Consider the following 16,187-nt stretch of genomic DNA (forward strand, 5'->3'; position numbering starts at 1 on the left):
GGAGTGCAGTGGCGCGATCTCGGCTCCCTGCAAGCCCCGCCTCCCGGGTTCACGCCATTCTCCTGCCTCAGCCTCCCCAGCAGCTGGGGCTACAGGCGCACGCTGCCACGCCCGGCTAATTTTTTTTGTATTTTTAGTAGAGACGGGGTTTCACCGTGTTAGCCAGGATGGTCTCGATCTCCTGACCTTGTGATCCGCCCGCCTCGGCCTCCCAAAGTGCTGGGATTAAAGGCATGAGCCACCGCGCCCGGTCCACTGGTGGATTTTTTAATGAACCCTTGGAGCAAGGTGCTCTGAACAGCATCCCCGCCCCCACCCCCACCCCCACCTCCATCTACTGCTTACAGGGTTCCCGGACCCTAGGACAGGGCACAGAGTGGGTGCTTGCCACCTTTTTGTTGCCAAATGGACGAAAGAAAGGGGAAGCAATAATCATGTCTGCTGAGCATGTATTTAGCACCAAACACTCATCTAGGAAGGATGACTAACTCATCCTGATTTGCCTAGGACTTTCCCCATTGTGTCTTTTTTTTCTGATATAATCCACAGATTCACAAAAATAGTTCCATTTCCTTTTTTATTTAATTAATTAATTAATTTTTTTGAGACACAGTCGTGCTCTGTCACCAGGCTGCAGTGCGGTGGTGTGATCTTGGCTCACTGCAACCTCTGCCTCCTGGGTTCAAGTGATTCTCCTGCCTCAGCCTCCCAAGTAGCTGGGACTACAGCCATGTGCCACCACACCTGGCTAATTTTTGTATTTTTAGTGGAGACAGGGTTTTGCCATTTTGGCCAGGCTGGTCTTGAACTCCTGCCCTCAAGTGATCCGCCTGCCTTAGCCTCCCAAAGTGCTGGGATTACAGGTGTGACCCACCATGCCCAGCCTATTTATTTATTTTTATTTATTTATTTAAGATGGAGTTTCTCTCTTGTTGCCCAGGCTGGAGTGCAATGGCGCAATCTCGGCTCACTGCAACCTCCGCCTACCAGGTTCAAGCAATTCTCCTACCTCAGCCTCCCAAGTAGCTGGGATTACAGGCACCCACCACTACGCTCAGCTAATTTTTTGTATTTTTAGTAGAGATATGGTTTCGCTATGTTGGCCAGGCTGGTTTCGAACGCCTGACCTCAGGCAATCCACCTGCCTTGGCCTCCCAAAGTGCTGGGATTACAGGCGTGAGCCACCGCGCCCGGCCGCCTATTTATATTTTTAGAGACAGGGTCTTGCTCTGTTGCCCAGGCTGGAGTGCAGTGGTACAATCACGGCTCACTGAAGCCTCCACCTCTTGGGCTCAAGCGATCTTCCCACCTCAGCCTCCTGAGTAGCTAGGACTACAGGCAGGTGGTACCATGTCATGTCCAGCTAAGTTTTGTATTTTTTGTAGAGACAGGTCTCACCATGTTGCCCAGGCTGATCTTGAACTCCTGGACCCAAGTGATCCTCTTGCCTTGGGCTCCCAAAGTGCTGGGATTACAGGCGTGAGCCACACATCCAGCCATCCCCATTTTGAAACCATTCCTGGGAACCCACTCAGTCCCTGGGAAACCTTACAACTGGTCATCCGAATTCTAGGTAATTTATTTAACCTTAACAACCTGTCAGACTGGCACTATTATGAACCCTCTTTAACAGGAAGTAGAGGTTGAAGCAATTCTGTGGCTGCTATTAGGGAATCCGTAGACTGTTCATGGAAGAGTGGAAGGTGGGCTTTATAGCCCGGTAGTTATGTACTTAGACTCTTGTGTCTGACAGACAAGAGTTTACACCCCAGGTTGTCAGTTCTTAGGTGTATGACATTGATCCCTTGCTTAAGCACTCAGATCTTCAATTTCCTCATCCTAAAATGGAAACAATAATTTAAGGTTATTGCAAGAATAAATGGGCCTGGTACATGACACATCATTAGTGCCAAATAAATGCTAGCTATCTTAATTAGGGGCACATACCACGAGCAAACAAAGCAGAAAAGGTGTAGAGGGAGAACAGAGAAAGTGTTAAGAGTATCCAGAGGAGGAAGTATCTGTGTTCCTTTGAACTCTAGTAACCTTCCTAGAGCCTGGCTCAAGCAGAAAACCTGGTGGATGTTAGTTTTCTTTCCTCTTATTTCCTTTCTTTTCTTTTTTTTTTTTTGTGGGGTGGAGTCTCGCTCTGTCACCCAGGCTGGAGTGCAGTGGCACGATCTCGGCTCACTGCAACCTCCACCTCCCAGGTTCAAGTGATTCTCTTGCCTCAGCCTCCCGAGTAGCTGGGACTAGAGGCGCCTGCCACCATGCCCAGCTAATTTTTGTATTTTTAGAGACAGGGTTTCACCGTGTTGGCCAGGTTGGTCTCGAACTTCTGACCTCAGGTGATCCGCCCGCCTTGGCCTCCCGAAGTGCTGGGATTACAGGCATGAGCCAGTGCACCTGGCCCTTTTTTATTTTTTTTTAACAACAACAACAAAATACATTTTATTTATTTAAGATAGGGTCTCACCATGTGCTCAGGCTGATCTCCAACTCTCGGGCTCAAGCAATCCTCCCACCTCAGCCCCCCAAGTAGCTGGGACTACAGGTGTGCACCACCATACCTGGCTGTTTTCTCTTCTTTTCTTTCTTTTTTTCCCTCTTTTTTGAGAGAGGGTCTCATTCTGTTGCCCAGACTGCTGTGCAGTGGTGCAGTTACGGCTCACTGCAGCCTCAACCTCCCCAGGCTCAGGTGATCCTCCCACCTCAGCCTCCTGAGTAGCTGAGACTACAGGTATGTGCCACCATACCCAGCTAATTTTTGTATTTTTCACAGAGATGAGGTTTCACCATGTTGCCCAGGCTGGTCTTGAACTCCTGAGCTCAAGAGATCTACCCACCTCAGCCTCCCGAAGTGCTGGTGTTACACCACATCTGGCCTTTCCTCTCGTTTTCTTTTTCTTTTTTTCTTTTTTTTTTTTTTTTTTGAGACAGAGTCTTACTCTGTCACCCAGGCTGGAGTGCAGTGGTGCTGTCTCGGCTCACTGCAACCTCCACCTCCCGGGTTCTAAGCGATTCTCCCGCCTCAGCCTCCAGAGTAGCTAGGATTACAGGCACACACCACCACAGCTGACTAATTTTGTATTTTTAGTAGAGATGGGGTTTCACCACGTTGGCCAGGCTGGTCTCGAACTCCTGAGCTACCAAAGTGCTGGGATTACAGGCGTGAGCCAGTGTGCCCAGCCTTGCTCTCATTTTCTTAGGTGAAATATTTCTCGCTATATTGCCCTTGCTGGTCTCAATCTCTTGGCCTCAAAAGATCCTCCGATCTTGGCTTCCCAAAATACTGGTATTACAGGCGTAAGCCACTGTGCCTGGCCTCACTCTTCCTGGCTTTGAAGACTGAAGGAGAGGCTTCCCAGCAATCAAAGGGATGGGAAAGAAATGCTTTTCTAGCCTCAGTTGTGTACCCAGATGAATCCAGGCTTCATCTTTGTATCATTTTTATCTCTTAAATGGTCTTGTCCCATGCAATTCACTGGCCAGTGGCCTAACCCCTCTGGATCTCAGTTTCCTCATCTGTAAGATGAGGATGATCCAGGTACCTCCCTCTTAGGATTGCTTGTGAGGATTAAATGAGTTAATGCATTGAAAGGGTTTAATAAGTACTTGGCATTTCCTAAGGGCTCAAAAAATGTTACCTACAATCATTAGCATGATCAGCCATCAGTGGCTTTTCACCATACTGGAATAGACTCCTGCCTCAGTACCCTGATTCCCTGGCATGTGATAGGGCCTACTCTCTCTGTCTCACCTCTCACCTCTCTTGCCCTTTGCATTCGGCTCCAGCCAAACTGGTTTTTCTGTTCCTTGAATGTGCAAGTTCTTCTTGCTCAGAGCCTTTGCATTTGCTGTTCCCTCTACCTGGAATGCTTTTCCACCTGATCTTCCTTGTCATTTTGTCTCAGCTTATTTTATTTATTTATTTTTTGAGACGGAGCTTCGCTCTGTCACCCAGGCTGGAGTGCAGTGGTATGATCTCGGCTCACTGTAAACTCTACCTCCAGAGTACAAGCAATTCTCCTACTTCAGTCTTCTGAGTAGCTGGGATTACAGGCGTGCACCACCACGCCCAGCTAATTTTGTATTTTTAGTAGTGATGGGGTTTCACATGTTGGCCAGGCTGGTCTCGAACTCCTGACCTCAAGTGATCTGTCCGCCTCAGCCTCCCAAAGTGCTGGGATTACAGGCTCGAGCCACCACGCCCAGCATTTTGTCTCAGTTTAAATGGCGTTTTTTCAGAGAGGCCTTCCCTGCCTGCCTATCTATTAATCGCTCTCAATCATATCAGCCTGGTTTATTTTCTTTATAGATTTTATTACTATTGAATATTTTCTTTCTTGTTTGTTGTCTGTCCCCGTGAGAGCTGGAATTTTGTTCAACACTGTGTCCTTAGTGCCTAGAACCATGCCTGGCACACAGTAGGTACTGACTAAATATTTACTGAGTGATTGAACTGGTTTGGAGTCCTTGAATGTCCCTGGGCAGCAGGCGATCCCTATGCCAACCCAGATCCTTTATCTCCTCCTGTACCATGTTAGCCTCAGTTCAATTGACCCTAAACACAGCTCTGACCGGCCGGGTACAGTGGTTCATGCCTGTAATCCCAGCACTTTGGGAGGCTGAGGCAGGTGGATCACCTGAGTTCAGGAGTTCCAGACCAGCTTGACCAAAACAGTGAAACCCCATCTCTACTAAAATTACAAAATTAGCCGGGTGTGGAAGCAGGTGCCTATAATCCCAGCTACTTGGGAGGCTGAGGCAGGAGAATCGCTTGAACCCAGGAGGTGGAGGTTGCAGTGAGCTGAGATCGCACCATTGCACTCCAGCCTGGGCAACAAGAGTGAAACTCTGTCTCTAAATAAATAAATAAATACAGCCTTGACCTGGGCTGGTGGAGGAGAAGGTGCAGTCACTGGCCCTGAATCCAGGGCCTTCCCCACTCAGCCTGTCCCTCTTTAATACATTGATTTCCCTTTTCCTCTAAAACATATGGTGCACACAACCCTCAAACGTTAAGAGTGATGTCAGCAGATGTGCAGCGTGGGATGGGCTCTGGCAGCCTCCTCGAGTGCTCATCACCGGGCTTGAGACATGGAGAGAGCCAAATCCCCAAATCCCTTCCCACTTTCACTCCTGGTTTTGTTGTTGTTTGTCTTTTGAGGCAGAGTCTGGCTCTGCCTATTAAGCTGGAGTGCGGAGGCACAATCTTGGCTCACTGCAGTCTTGACCTCCTGGGCTCAAGCAATCCTCCCACCTCAGCCTCCTGAGTAGCTGGGACTATAGGCATGCACCACCACGGCTGATTAATGTTTGTAATTTTTTTTTTTTGTAGAGATGAGGTCTCACTGTGTTACTCAGGCTGGTCTCCATCTCCTGGCCTCAAGGAATCCTCCCACCTCGGCCTCTGAAAGTGCTGGGATTACAGGCATGAGCCACTGCGCCCGGCCTCATCCCTGGCTTTGAAGAGAGAAGGAGAGGCTTCCCAGCACTCAGAGGGACAGGAAGGAAGTGCCTTTCCAGCCTCAGTTGTGTACCCAGCACAGCAATACTGGTAAGAAATCAAGATAGCAAAGTCCTGCTTCTGCCTTTTTCTAGAACAGATGTCAGCAAGCTGTTCCTGTAAAGGAATCAGGATAGCAAAGTCCTGCTTCTGCCTTTTTCTAGAACAAATGTCAGCAAGCTGTTCCTGAAAAGGCCAAAGTGTACATATTTTAGGCTTTCCACACCCTGTGGTCTCTATCGCAGCTGCTCAGCCCTACACTTTAGCATGAAAGCAGCCATAAACAATATCTAACGAACAGGCTGGGAGCTGGAGTTAGCACACAGGCCATAGTTTACCAACCCCTGTTCCAGAGGAAATGAAAAATCTCTTTCTGGGCTAGGCATGGTGGCTCATGCCTATAATCTCAGTACTTTGGGAGGCTGAGGCAGGAGGATTGCTTAAGCCCAGGAGCTCGAGGCTGTAGTGAGCTATGATTGTGCCACTGAACTCCAGTCTGGGTGACACAGCAAGATCCTGTCTCTAAAAAAAAAAAACACTTTTTGAACCTCAGTTTCCACATCTGTAAAATGGGATGATCTAGTACTTACCTACCTCCCTGGGTGGCAGTGAGGATTTAAAGTGATAAAGTATACAAAGTGTGGAACCTAGTACTTGGTGGCGGGGTGGGGCGCTCTCACTTTGTTGCCCAGGCTGGTCTAGAATTCCTGGGCTCGAGCGATCCTCTCGCCTTGGCCTTTCAAAGTTCTGGGATTACAGGCATGAGTCACTGTGCCTGGCCTGATTATTAGTATTAATAGTTGTCATAGTTGCTTAACAAACAGAAAGTGCTTTTTTGAGACAGGGTCTCACTCTGTTACCCAGGCTGGAAGGCAGTGGCACGATCATGGCTCACTGCAGCCTCATCCTCCCTGGGCTCAGGTAATCCTCCCATCTCAGCCTCCCGAGTAGCTGGAACTATAGGCATGTACCACCATGCTCAGCTAACTTTTAAAATTTTTTTGTAGAGATAGAATCTCACTGTGTAGACCAAGCTGATCTCAAACTCCTGGCCTCAAGCGATCTGCCTGCCTCGGCCTCCCTAAGTGTTGGGATTACACGCGTGAACCACCACACTTGGCCAGAAAGTGCTTCCACATATTAACTCACTTACACTTCATAACATCCTACAAGATAGGTATCCTCACCCCCAGTTTACAGATAAGGAAACTGAGGCCCAGCAGTTATAAGCTCAAGTCAGTCTGGCCCCAGAGCCTATGCTTGTAACTAGGTTTCTCTCTCTGTCTCTCTCTTTTTCATTATCCCATGTAACTCTCACAGCAGTGCCTTGAGATAGCTATTATTGGCCCTGTTTTGCAGATTTGGAAACTGAGGTTCAGTACGAGGAAATAACTGGTCCAAGGAAGTAAACACGGGCTCCACTGACCACAGGAGGCCAAGCTGGATTGCTGCCCAACATGTCAACATGCACTGCTCTGGCCCCCTCCTCCCTCGCTGTGCCTCCAGCTGTGTTTTCTTTGGATCTCTGCATGGCTTGGAGAAGCTGCGTCAGCCCATCTCCTCTCCTGCCCAGTCCCCACCCCCAACGCCCACCCCAGCTACCCCTCAGGGAGTGACCCCCTTCTCCTCACTCTGCCTGAGCATATGAGCACTGCAGCTCATGCGCCTGTGTTGGTCAGCATGGGTGCACCTGGGGACATGTGACAGGGGACCCAGCTGGAATGAGAGGAGGATTATCTGAGGAGGACAAATCTCAGGCCAGGAAGACCCCGATTACATCTCTCCAGACAGGCGAAATGATCATCTGTTTCCAGAATGCAACTGGACAAAACAGTCCGCGTGAGGGCTGGACATTTACCAAATGGGTAAAAGGAATCTAAAAGGGCTGGGGCTTGCTGAGTTCAGCCAGGCCAAAGCTGTGGACTGACTTTCCGTGATTTCTAAAGCTGGGAGATCTGTTGTTTTCTTCTTTCTTTCCCATTTCCTCCTTGAAGGCCAGTCCATTTTCTGTGTGAAGAACAGGCCACTTGGTGTCTGAAGTCACCTCCAGATTAGAAACTCAAGGATTCTAAGGTTCCTTATGAGGTGTTGCTTTCCCTGGGTCCTCGGTCCTAGGGCATTGTATCCCCACACCTGGTGCCTCTCCATCAGGGCTCGGATGTCAGCCTTGGGCAGCTCACTCTCTCTCTGACTTCCCTTTTCTTTTCTTCTTCATATCCCACCCTTCTTCCCAGTTTCTATGCCTCTGTCAGTCTGCTAGCTGACTCTGACTCATGGGGACCTCTTTCTGTGGTCCTCTAAGCCTCCTAACCGTCTGTGCTTTCCTTATACTCCACGTGGGCTTTCCAGCCTCTACTTGTTTTGAGGAAGAGGTGGAGGATCCATAGCAGCTCTGTCTAGATGTTTGGATTTCATAAGCCAGTCACAACATTTCAAAGTAAGTGAAGGGAGGGGGCCCCAAAGGAAGGGATTTTTTCCTTTGATAATAAGGATAGGCCACCATCTTCAGCCTAAGCTTGTCCCTTTTCTGCAGGGCTTGCTGAAATGTTGCAAGAAGTGGTCAACATAATGCAACTCGAATTTTTCCAGGTGTCCTAATACTGCAGGAGTCCCCCGCATAACCCAGGCTTTGGTCTAACAAGATTGCCAACCCCTAGCCAGGAATCATGAGGATGTCACCGCCCTCTGGCCTTCTTCCTCTCTTCCACCCAGCTAGATCCATATTTTAGCTCCCCCCCAACCCTAGCAAGTACCAAATCCTGCTCCTTTTCCAAGCTTCCCCATCACAGGTCATGGCACCAGCTTTATGCAGTGCTCAAGTCAAAAATATAGGAGTCATCCTTGACTTCCTTTTTTTGTTATACCCCACATCAGCAAATCCCGGTGTCTCTAACTCCAAAAGACGCCTCACCTTATGCCTGTAATCAAAGCACTTTGGGAGGCTGAGGTGGGAGGATCACTTGAGCCCAGGGGTTCAAGACCAGCCTGAGCAACATAGTGAGACTTTGTCTCTACAAAAAATAATTAGCCAGGTGTGGTAGCATGCGCCAATAGTCCCAACTACTTGGGAGGCTGAGGTGGGAAGATCGCTTGAGTCCAGGAGGTCAAGGCTGCAGTGAGCTGTGATTGCGCCACTGCATTCCCGCCTGGGCAACAGAGCGAGACTCTGCCTCGAAAAAAAAAAAAGATGCCCCACATCTATACAATTCTCTCTATCAGCACCAACACCACTTCAAGCCATTTTCATTGGTTACCGGGACAACCTGCCTTATCTCCCTGTCTCACCATTTCTCCTGTAGGTCTAGCCTCTCTACATCAATCTAAGTGATATTTTTAAAAATGGGAATCATAGAATTTTTCTATCCTGCTCAACATCCTCCCCATCACACACAAAATAAAACCCAGACTCTGGCCACGACCTCTGGAAACACTGCAGGTGAACTAGCTCCTGCCTACCTTCCTCTCCAAGCCCATCTTCTACCACTGTTGGGAACACACCAAGTGCCTTCAGCCTCAGACTTTCCTTAATTCTTTTCTCCACCAGACACATCATCCCACACACATACCCATGCAGAGTTACTCAGATCCCTACTCAAATGTCACCCCCACAGAAGAGGCCCCCTCTGTGTCATTACCTGTCATTCTGTTTGTTTAATTCTTTATTGCCTGTTTCTTCCAGTAGACTGCAAGCTCCCCAGGGCGGGGACAGGAGCCTGCCACTCTTATTCATGGCCATATGTCCAGTGCCCAGCACAGGGTCTGGCACACAGAAAATGCTCAATAGATGTTTGTTGAATTCAAGATGGCCGGGCACGGTGGCTCATGCCTGTAATCTCAGCACTTTGGGAGGTCGAGGCAGACAGATCACGAGGTCAGGAGTTCGAGACCAGCCTGGCCAAAATGGTGAAACTCCGTCTCTACTAAAAATACAAAAATTAGCCGGGCGTGGTGGCACACACCTGTAGTCCCAGCTACTTGGAAGGCTGAGGCAGAAGAATCACTTGAACCTGGGAGGCAGAGGTTGCAGTGAGCTGAGATCACACCACTGCACTCCCGCCTGGGCAAGAGAGCGAAACTCCATCTCAGGAAAAAAAAAAAAAAGATGTTTGTTGAATTCAAGATGGGGTGTTATTATCATCCCTAGACCCTTCAGAAGGAGCAGCTTTTATGGTGCACTCTGTAGCCCTGATCTAATCCCCGGCTGAGCCTCTAAGCTCTATGCTTTCTGCTGGTACCACCCATTTCCTTGCATTTAGCCGGGGTTATCTGGAGCTGGTCTGCAGCCAAGAATGTCATACTTTCCTAATCTCCCCAGAGGCCTGAGAGACGCCTAAGGTCATGGGAGGTGCCCCCACAGGATCTCAGTGGGCTGAGCAGAAATCGGGACTCCTTGACCTAACCCACCCCCAGGCCCCTTCTACCTCACCTTCCAGCAGGCTCACGCCTGTAATCCCAACACTTTGGGAGGCCATGGTGGGCGAATCACCTGAGGTCAGGAGGAGTTCGAGACTAGCCTGGCCAACATGGTGAAACCCCAACTCTACCAAAAATAAAAACATTAGCTGGGTATGGTCGTGGGCACCTGTAATTCCAGCTACTCAGGAGGCTGAGGCAGGAGAATTGCTTGAACCCAGGAGACAGAGGTTGCAGTGAGCCAAGATCGCACCACTGCACTCCAGCCTGGGCGACAGAGCAGGACTCCATCTCAAAAAAAAAAAAAAGTTGAACACAAATTTACCATACAGCAATTTCGCTCCTAAGGGTCTACCCACAGAAAAGGAAAATGAATGCATTTGTACATGAATGTTGATAGTAGTGTTATTCGTAATAGCCAAAAGGTGGAAACAATTCAACTATCAATTGGTAAACAAATAAAATATGGTATATCTGTATAATGCAACACTATTCAGCAATAAAAAAAGAATCAACTACTGATATATGCTTCAAAATGGATGAAGCTCAAAAACATAATGCAAAGTGAAAGATGCAAGCTGCAAAAGACTACATCTGTGTGATTCTATTTATATGAAATGTTCAGAAAAGGCAGCTCTATAGGGACAGAAAGCAGGCCAGTGGTTGCTGGGGGCTGATGGTGGGAACAGGAACTGACTGCAAACAAGCCCAAGAAATCTTTTAGGGTAATGGAAATGTTCTAAAACAGAACTGTGTTGACAATTGTATAACTCTATACATTTACTTAAAACAAATTTTATTTATTTATTTATTTATTCATTCATTTTTGAGACAGAGTCTCTCTCCTTCCCCCAGGCTGAAGTGCAATGGTGCAATCTCGGCTCACTGCAACCTCCGCCTCCTGAGTTCAAGCGATTCTCCTGTCTCAGCCTCCCCAGTAGCTGGGATTACAGGTGCCTACCACCACACCTGGCTAATTTTTGTATTTTTAGTAGAGACAGGGTTTCACCACGTTGGCCAGGCTGGTCTCGAACTCCTCACCTCCACCCTCCTCAGCCTCCCAAAGTGCTGGGATTACAGGCGTGAGCTACCGTGCCCGGCCTATTCATTTACTTATTATTATTATTTTTAGTAGAGACAAGGTCTTGTCTGGGTTGGTCTCTAGCTCCTGGGCTCAAGCAGTCCTCCTGCCTCAGCCTCCCAAAGTGCTGAGATTATAGGTGTAAGCCACTGTGCCCGGCCAGAATTGTATATGTATTTATTTATTTATTTATTTTTGAGACGGAATCTCTCCCAGGTTGGAGTGCAGTGGCATGATCTCAGCTCACTGCAACCTCCACCTCCCTGGTTCAACGATTCTCCTGCCTCAGCCTCCCAAGTATCTGGGATTACAGGCGCCCACCACCACGCCGAGCTAATTTTTGTATTTTTTTTTTTTTGAGACTGAGTTTTGCCGTTGTTGCCCAGGCTAGAGTGCAATGCGTGACCTCAGCTCACTGCAACCTCCGCCTCTCAGGTTCAAGGGATTCTCCTGCCTCAGCCTCCCAAGTAGCTGGGATTACAGGCATACACCACTGAGCCTGGCTAATTTTGTATTTTTAGTAGAGATGGCATTTCGCCATGTTGGTCAGGCTGGTCTTGAACTCCTGACCTCAGGCGATCCGCCTGCCGTGGCTTCCCAAAGTGCTGGGATCACAGGCGTGATAGAATTGTATACTGAAAACAAGTGAGTCTTGTAGTCTGTAAATTATACCCTAATAAAGCTGTTAAAAACATTTTCCTAGCTCGGGTTGAGATCTCTGGGTTAGATGTGTCCTGGGAACCCAGCTGGGACCCAGGCTGGGTGGGGTGTCCTCCTTTCTCTCCTTTCTAAGTCAGTTTTCTGTGATCTCAGACTTTCAGGAAGCTACCAGCTGTCGCTCTTGTTTCTTTTTTGAAGAAGTCTGGAATTCTGCAGACTCAGCTCATATGGGAGTAAACATCCTGGCTCTTGGCCACTCTGACTGAAGTGCAAAAATGAGCATCACGGCCGGGCACGGTGGCTCACGCCTGTAATCTCAGCACTTTAGAAGGCCGAGGCAGGCGGATCATGATGTCTGGACATTGATACTGTCCTTGCCAACATGATGAAACCCCATCTCTACTAAACATACAAAAATTAGCTGGGCATGGTGGCATGTGCCTGTAATTCCAGCTACTCAGGAGGCTGAGGTAGGAGAATCGCTTGAACCAGGGAGTTGGAGGTTGTAGTGAGCCGAGATCGCGCCACTGAACTCCAGCCTGGCGATAGAGCAAGACTGTCTTAAAAAAAAAAAGCGCATCACAGGGAATGGGTGGGAGAGTGGAGGGGACCACCACAGGTGGCCCACCCCTATCTTGATATGACCAAACGCCGCCTGGGATGCTGAGCACTAACCCAGAGCAAGGACTGAATTTGGACTCCAGGGTCCTGGTAGGACCTGCACCTCCCTTGCTCCCTGGCTGTGCTCAGGTTGACCAGCTCTCCAAACACACCCTCCCTTTCTATACCTCCAGGCCTTGGCACACGCTGTGCCCTCCCCTTTTCCTTGCCTACCTGGAAAATCTATTTTTCCAATAAGAATCTGTTCATTGTCATCTCCTCTGAAGCTTTCTCCTTTGTGTGCCCACCACCCCCAGCCCCTGCCATCCCTCCAGAGCCCTCATCTCCCTGTGGCAGAGGGTTCATGTATATGTCTGCCTCCCACACTGCTCTGTGGGCTCCCTAAGACAAACCGTCTGTCCGTCTTACTTATCGCTTATTCTCAAGACTCTAGGACAGGCCAAGGGAAGAAATGGAGGGAATAGTACACCACATCAGACGCTTCCAAGGCCAGGAAGACCAAGGGAGACGCCCCCATTCCTCTCATCTATTCTTGGCCTAAATGGCTTCTCTCATCTGGTCCCAGAATGGCCCAAGAGCCACTCCCTGTGGGAACCACAGTTTGGGGTGGAAGCCTCCTTTCCACAGCTTTCCGGGGGCCAGACCCACTTGCCTTGGAAACTCCCTTTGCATAATTTAAACTGCAGTGTAGGGTCCATGGCCAGCTCAAGCCCAGCCTAGGCGGGGGCAACCTGGAGTGGGATCCAGCTAGAGTCTCCCTTCCCCAGCTGCCAGGACCTCAGGGGATGAAAGTTCCCTCTCAGCAGCTTCTTGCTGCAGTGGCAGAGAACAAGGGGGTTAAGCTATGTGGCAACCTGAGCTGGTTGTTTATGTTTCTGCTTTAGTGTGGAGGCTTGGCTTTGTCCGGAGTTGAGGCAGGGGTCCTCAGAGGCCCTGGCAGCTAGTGACCAGCCAGGAGTGGTGACATAATTTTCAGGGCTAGGGCCGGACATGATGGGTCACGCCTGTAATCCCATCACTTTGGGGTGCCAAGGTGGGTGGATCACCTGAGGTTGGGAGTGTGAGACCAGACTTGCCAACATGGTGAAACCCCATCTCTACTAAAAATCTAAAAATTACCTGGACCCAGTGGCACGTGCCTGTAGTCCCAGCTACTGGGGAGGCTGAGGCAAGAGAATTGCTTGAACCTGGGAGGGGGAGGTTGCAGCGAGCCGAGATTGCACCACTGCACTCCAGCCTGGGTGACAGAGCAAGACGCTGTCTCAAAAAACAATATTCAGGGCTCAGGGCAAAATGAAAACGTGGGACTTTTGTTCCAAAATTATTAAGATTTTTAAGATGGTGACAGTAGAACATTAAACCAAACACAGACTTTTCTTTTTTATTATTATTTTTATTTTCATCTTGTTTTTATTTTTTGAGACAGGGTCTAGAGTGCAGTGGTGCAATCATGGCTCACTACAGCCTCGAACTCCTGGACTCAAGCAATCACCCCCTGCGTCAGCCTCCCAAGTAGCTAGGACTGCAGGAGCACCTACTATGCCCAGCTAATTATTACTATTATTATTTTATGTAGAGATGGGGTTCTATGTTGCACATGCTGGTCTTGAACTTTTGGCCACAAGCAATCCTCCCACTTTGGCATCCCAAAGTGCTGGGATTACAGGCATGAGCCTCCACACCCAGTAAGCATGGGCCTTTCTAAATCTATGCAGCCGGCCCTGGTGCCAGGGAGAGGAGCCCAGCTTATTCCAACCACCTCTCTCAGCCCAGACCTATTGTCTACCCAGGCTTCTTAGTTCAGAAAAGTAGCTGGAGAAATGGAAAGCCTTAGGATCTTTGCTCAACTGCTCATCCCTATATTGGGAATAAAAGACTCCAGGCTACTGACAGAGACTCGGCCACAGCAGGCAGCCCACAGGGTGCTGCCTTGGTGTTCCCACCACAGAAACCAGAGCCTGGAATAGAAACGGGGATACCTGGCCAGGCACAGTGCCTCACGCCTGTAATCCCACCACTTTGGGAGGCCGAGGCAGGCAGATTGCTTGAGGTCAGGAGTTCGAGGCCAGCCTGGTCAACACGGTGAAACCCCCATCTCTACTAAAAACACAAAAATTAGCTGGGCCTGGTGATGTGTGCCTTTAGTCACAGCTACTCCGGAGGCTGAGGCAGGAGAATCGCTTGAATCCTGGAGGCAGAGGTTACAGTGAGCCAAGATCACACCACTGCATTCCAGCCTGTGCGACAGAGGGAGATCCTGTCTCAAAAAATAAATAAATAAACGGGCTACCTGAAAAAGCCACCTAGACTTCAACCCAGAGTGGTCTGTTCATGGTCATCAAATATTTACAGAGGGTCAGGCACAGTACTGAGCATGGGGTTACAAGGGTGAATAAGCCCCAGGCCCCACCCTTAAGCAGCGCACAGCCTAGTGGATGAGGAAAATTGACAAACATTATGAGCTTAGACCATTGTGGTAGTACAAGAGAGGGAACCTGTCCTAGCCGGGGTAGAAGGAAGTTCAGGGAAGGCTGCCTGGTGGAGGCGACATCTAGGCTAAGACTCGAAGGCTGAATTAGGTCAAGAGGGGAAGAAGAGTAAGGGCAAACAGCATATGCAGAGACTCAGGAGCTGGACACGGTGGCTCATGCCTGAAATCCCAACACTTTGGGAGGCTGAAGCAGGAATATTCCTTGAGGCTAGGAGTTTGAGACCAGCCTGGGCAACATAGTGAGATCTTGTCTCTACAAAAAAAAAAAAAATTTAATGAGCCAGGTGTGGTGGTGGTGTGCTCCTGCAGTCCCAGCTACTTAGGGGGCTGAGGTAAGAGGATCACTTGAGCCTAGGAGGTCAAGGCTACAGTGAGCCTGGATACAAATGGAGACTCTGGCTCAAAAACGAACAAAACAAAGAAAGAAATAAACAAAAACACAAAGGATCAGGGTCATGAAAGAACCTGGCACATTTAGGGAAATTATGAAGTAGTTCATGGTAGCTGGGACTGGATCAAGAAGAGATGGTTTGAAGGTCCAGATCATGAATAAAATGAATGTGTGTAAAGTGCTTGACGTTGTGCATAGTAAATATTCTGCCATGGTAGCTCATTATAATTCTGGTTTTGTAGGCCAAATTAAGGGTTTGGGATTTTGTCCCGTAGTCAATGGGGAGACATTCAAGAGCTTTAAGCCCAGAGTGACTTGATGAGATTTGCTATATGGCCAGATCCCCGTGGCTCCTTGGTGGATTATGAACTAGAAGAGAAGCAAGGCTGGAGGATCAGAAGGCCACTTTGAAAATTAACAGGTATGGCCAAGCACAGTGGCTCACACCTGTAATCCTAGCACTTTAGGAAGCTGAGGTGGGAGAATTGCTTCAGCCCAGAAGTTAGAGATAGTCTTGGCAACATACTGACCCCATCTCTAGTTAAAAAAAAAAAGAGAGAGAGAGAGAGACTGGGCATGGTGGCTCACACCTATAATCTTAGCACTTTGGGAGGCAGAGGCAGGTGGATCGCCTGAGGTCAGGAGTTCAAGATCATCCTGGCCAACACGGTGAAACCCTGTCTCTACTAAAAATACAAAAATTAGCCAGGCGTGGTGGCGTGTGCCTGTAATCCCAGCTACCTGGGAGGCTGAGGCAGGAGAATTGCTGGAACTTGGGAGGCGGAGGCTGCAGTGAGCTGATATTGTGCCATGGCACTCCAGCCCATGTGACAGAGCCAGACTCAATAAACAAATAAATAAAGCCAGGCACGGTGGCTGATGCCTGTAATCCCAGCACTTTGGGAGGCCGAGGCGGGCAGATCACTTGAGGTCAGGAGTTCGAGACCAGCCTGGCCAACATGCAGAAACCCTGTCTCTACTGAAAATACAAAAATTAGCCAGGTGTTGTGGCGGGTGCCTG

At 49.0% G+C, this 16,187-nt stretch overlaps 2 annotated features.

Moving 5' to 3' along the window:
• Positions 11,713–12,007: a silencer, noted in NCBI's record as "tiled region #14031; K562 Repressive non-DNase unmatched - State 23:Low". NCBI's record gives its function as "represses a minimal TATA promoter and a strong SV40 promoter by Sharpr-MPRA in K562 cells {active_cell/tissue: K562}" and the evidence as "EXISTENCE:reporter gene assay evidence [ECO:0000049][PMID:27701403]".
• Positions 14,453–14,747: an enhancer, noted in NCBI's record as "tiled region #10402; HepG2 Activating DNase matched - State 5:Enh". NCBI's record gives its function as "activates a minimal TATA promoter and a strong SV40 promoter by Sharpr-MPRA in HepG2 cells {active_cell/tissue: HepG2}" and the evidence as "EXISTENCE:reporter gene assay evidence [ECO:0000049][PMID:27701403]".

The sequence above is a fragment of the Homo sapiens genome, chromosome 20, assembly GCF_000001405.40.
Source record: "Homo sapiens chromosome 20, GRCh38.p14 Primary Assembly".
NCBI lineage: Eukaryota > Metazoa > Chordata > Mammalia > Primates > Hominidae > Homo > Homo sapiens.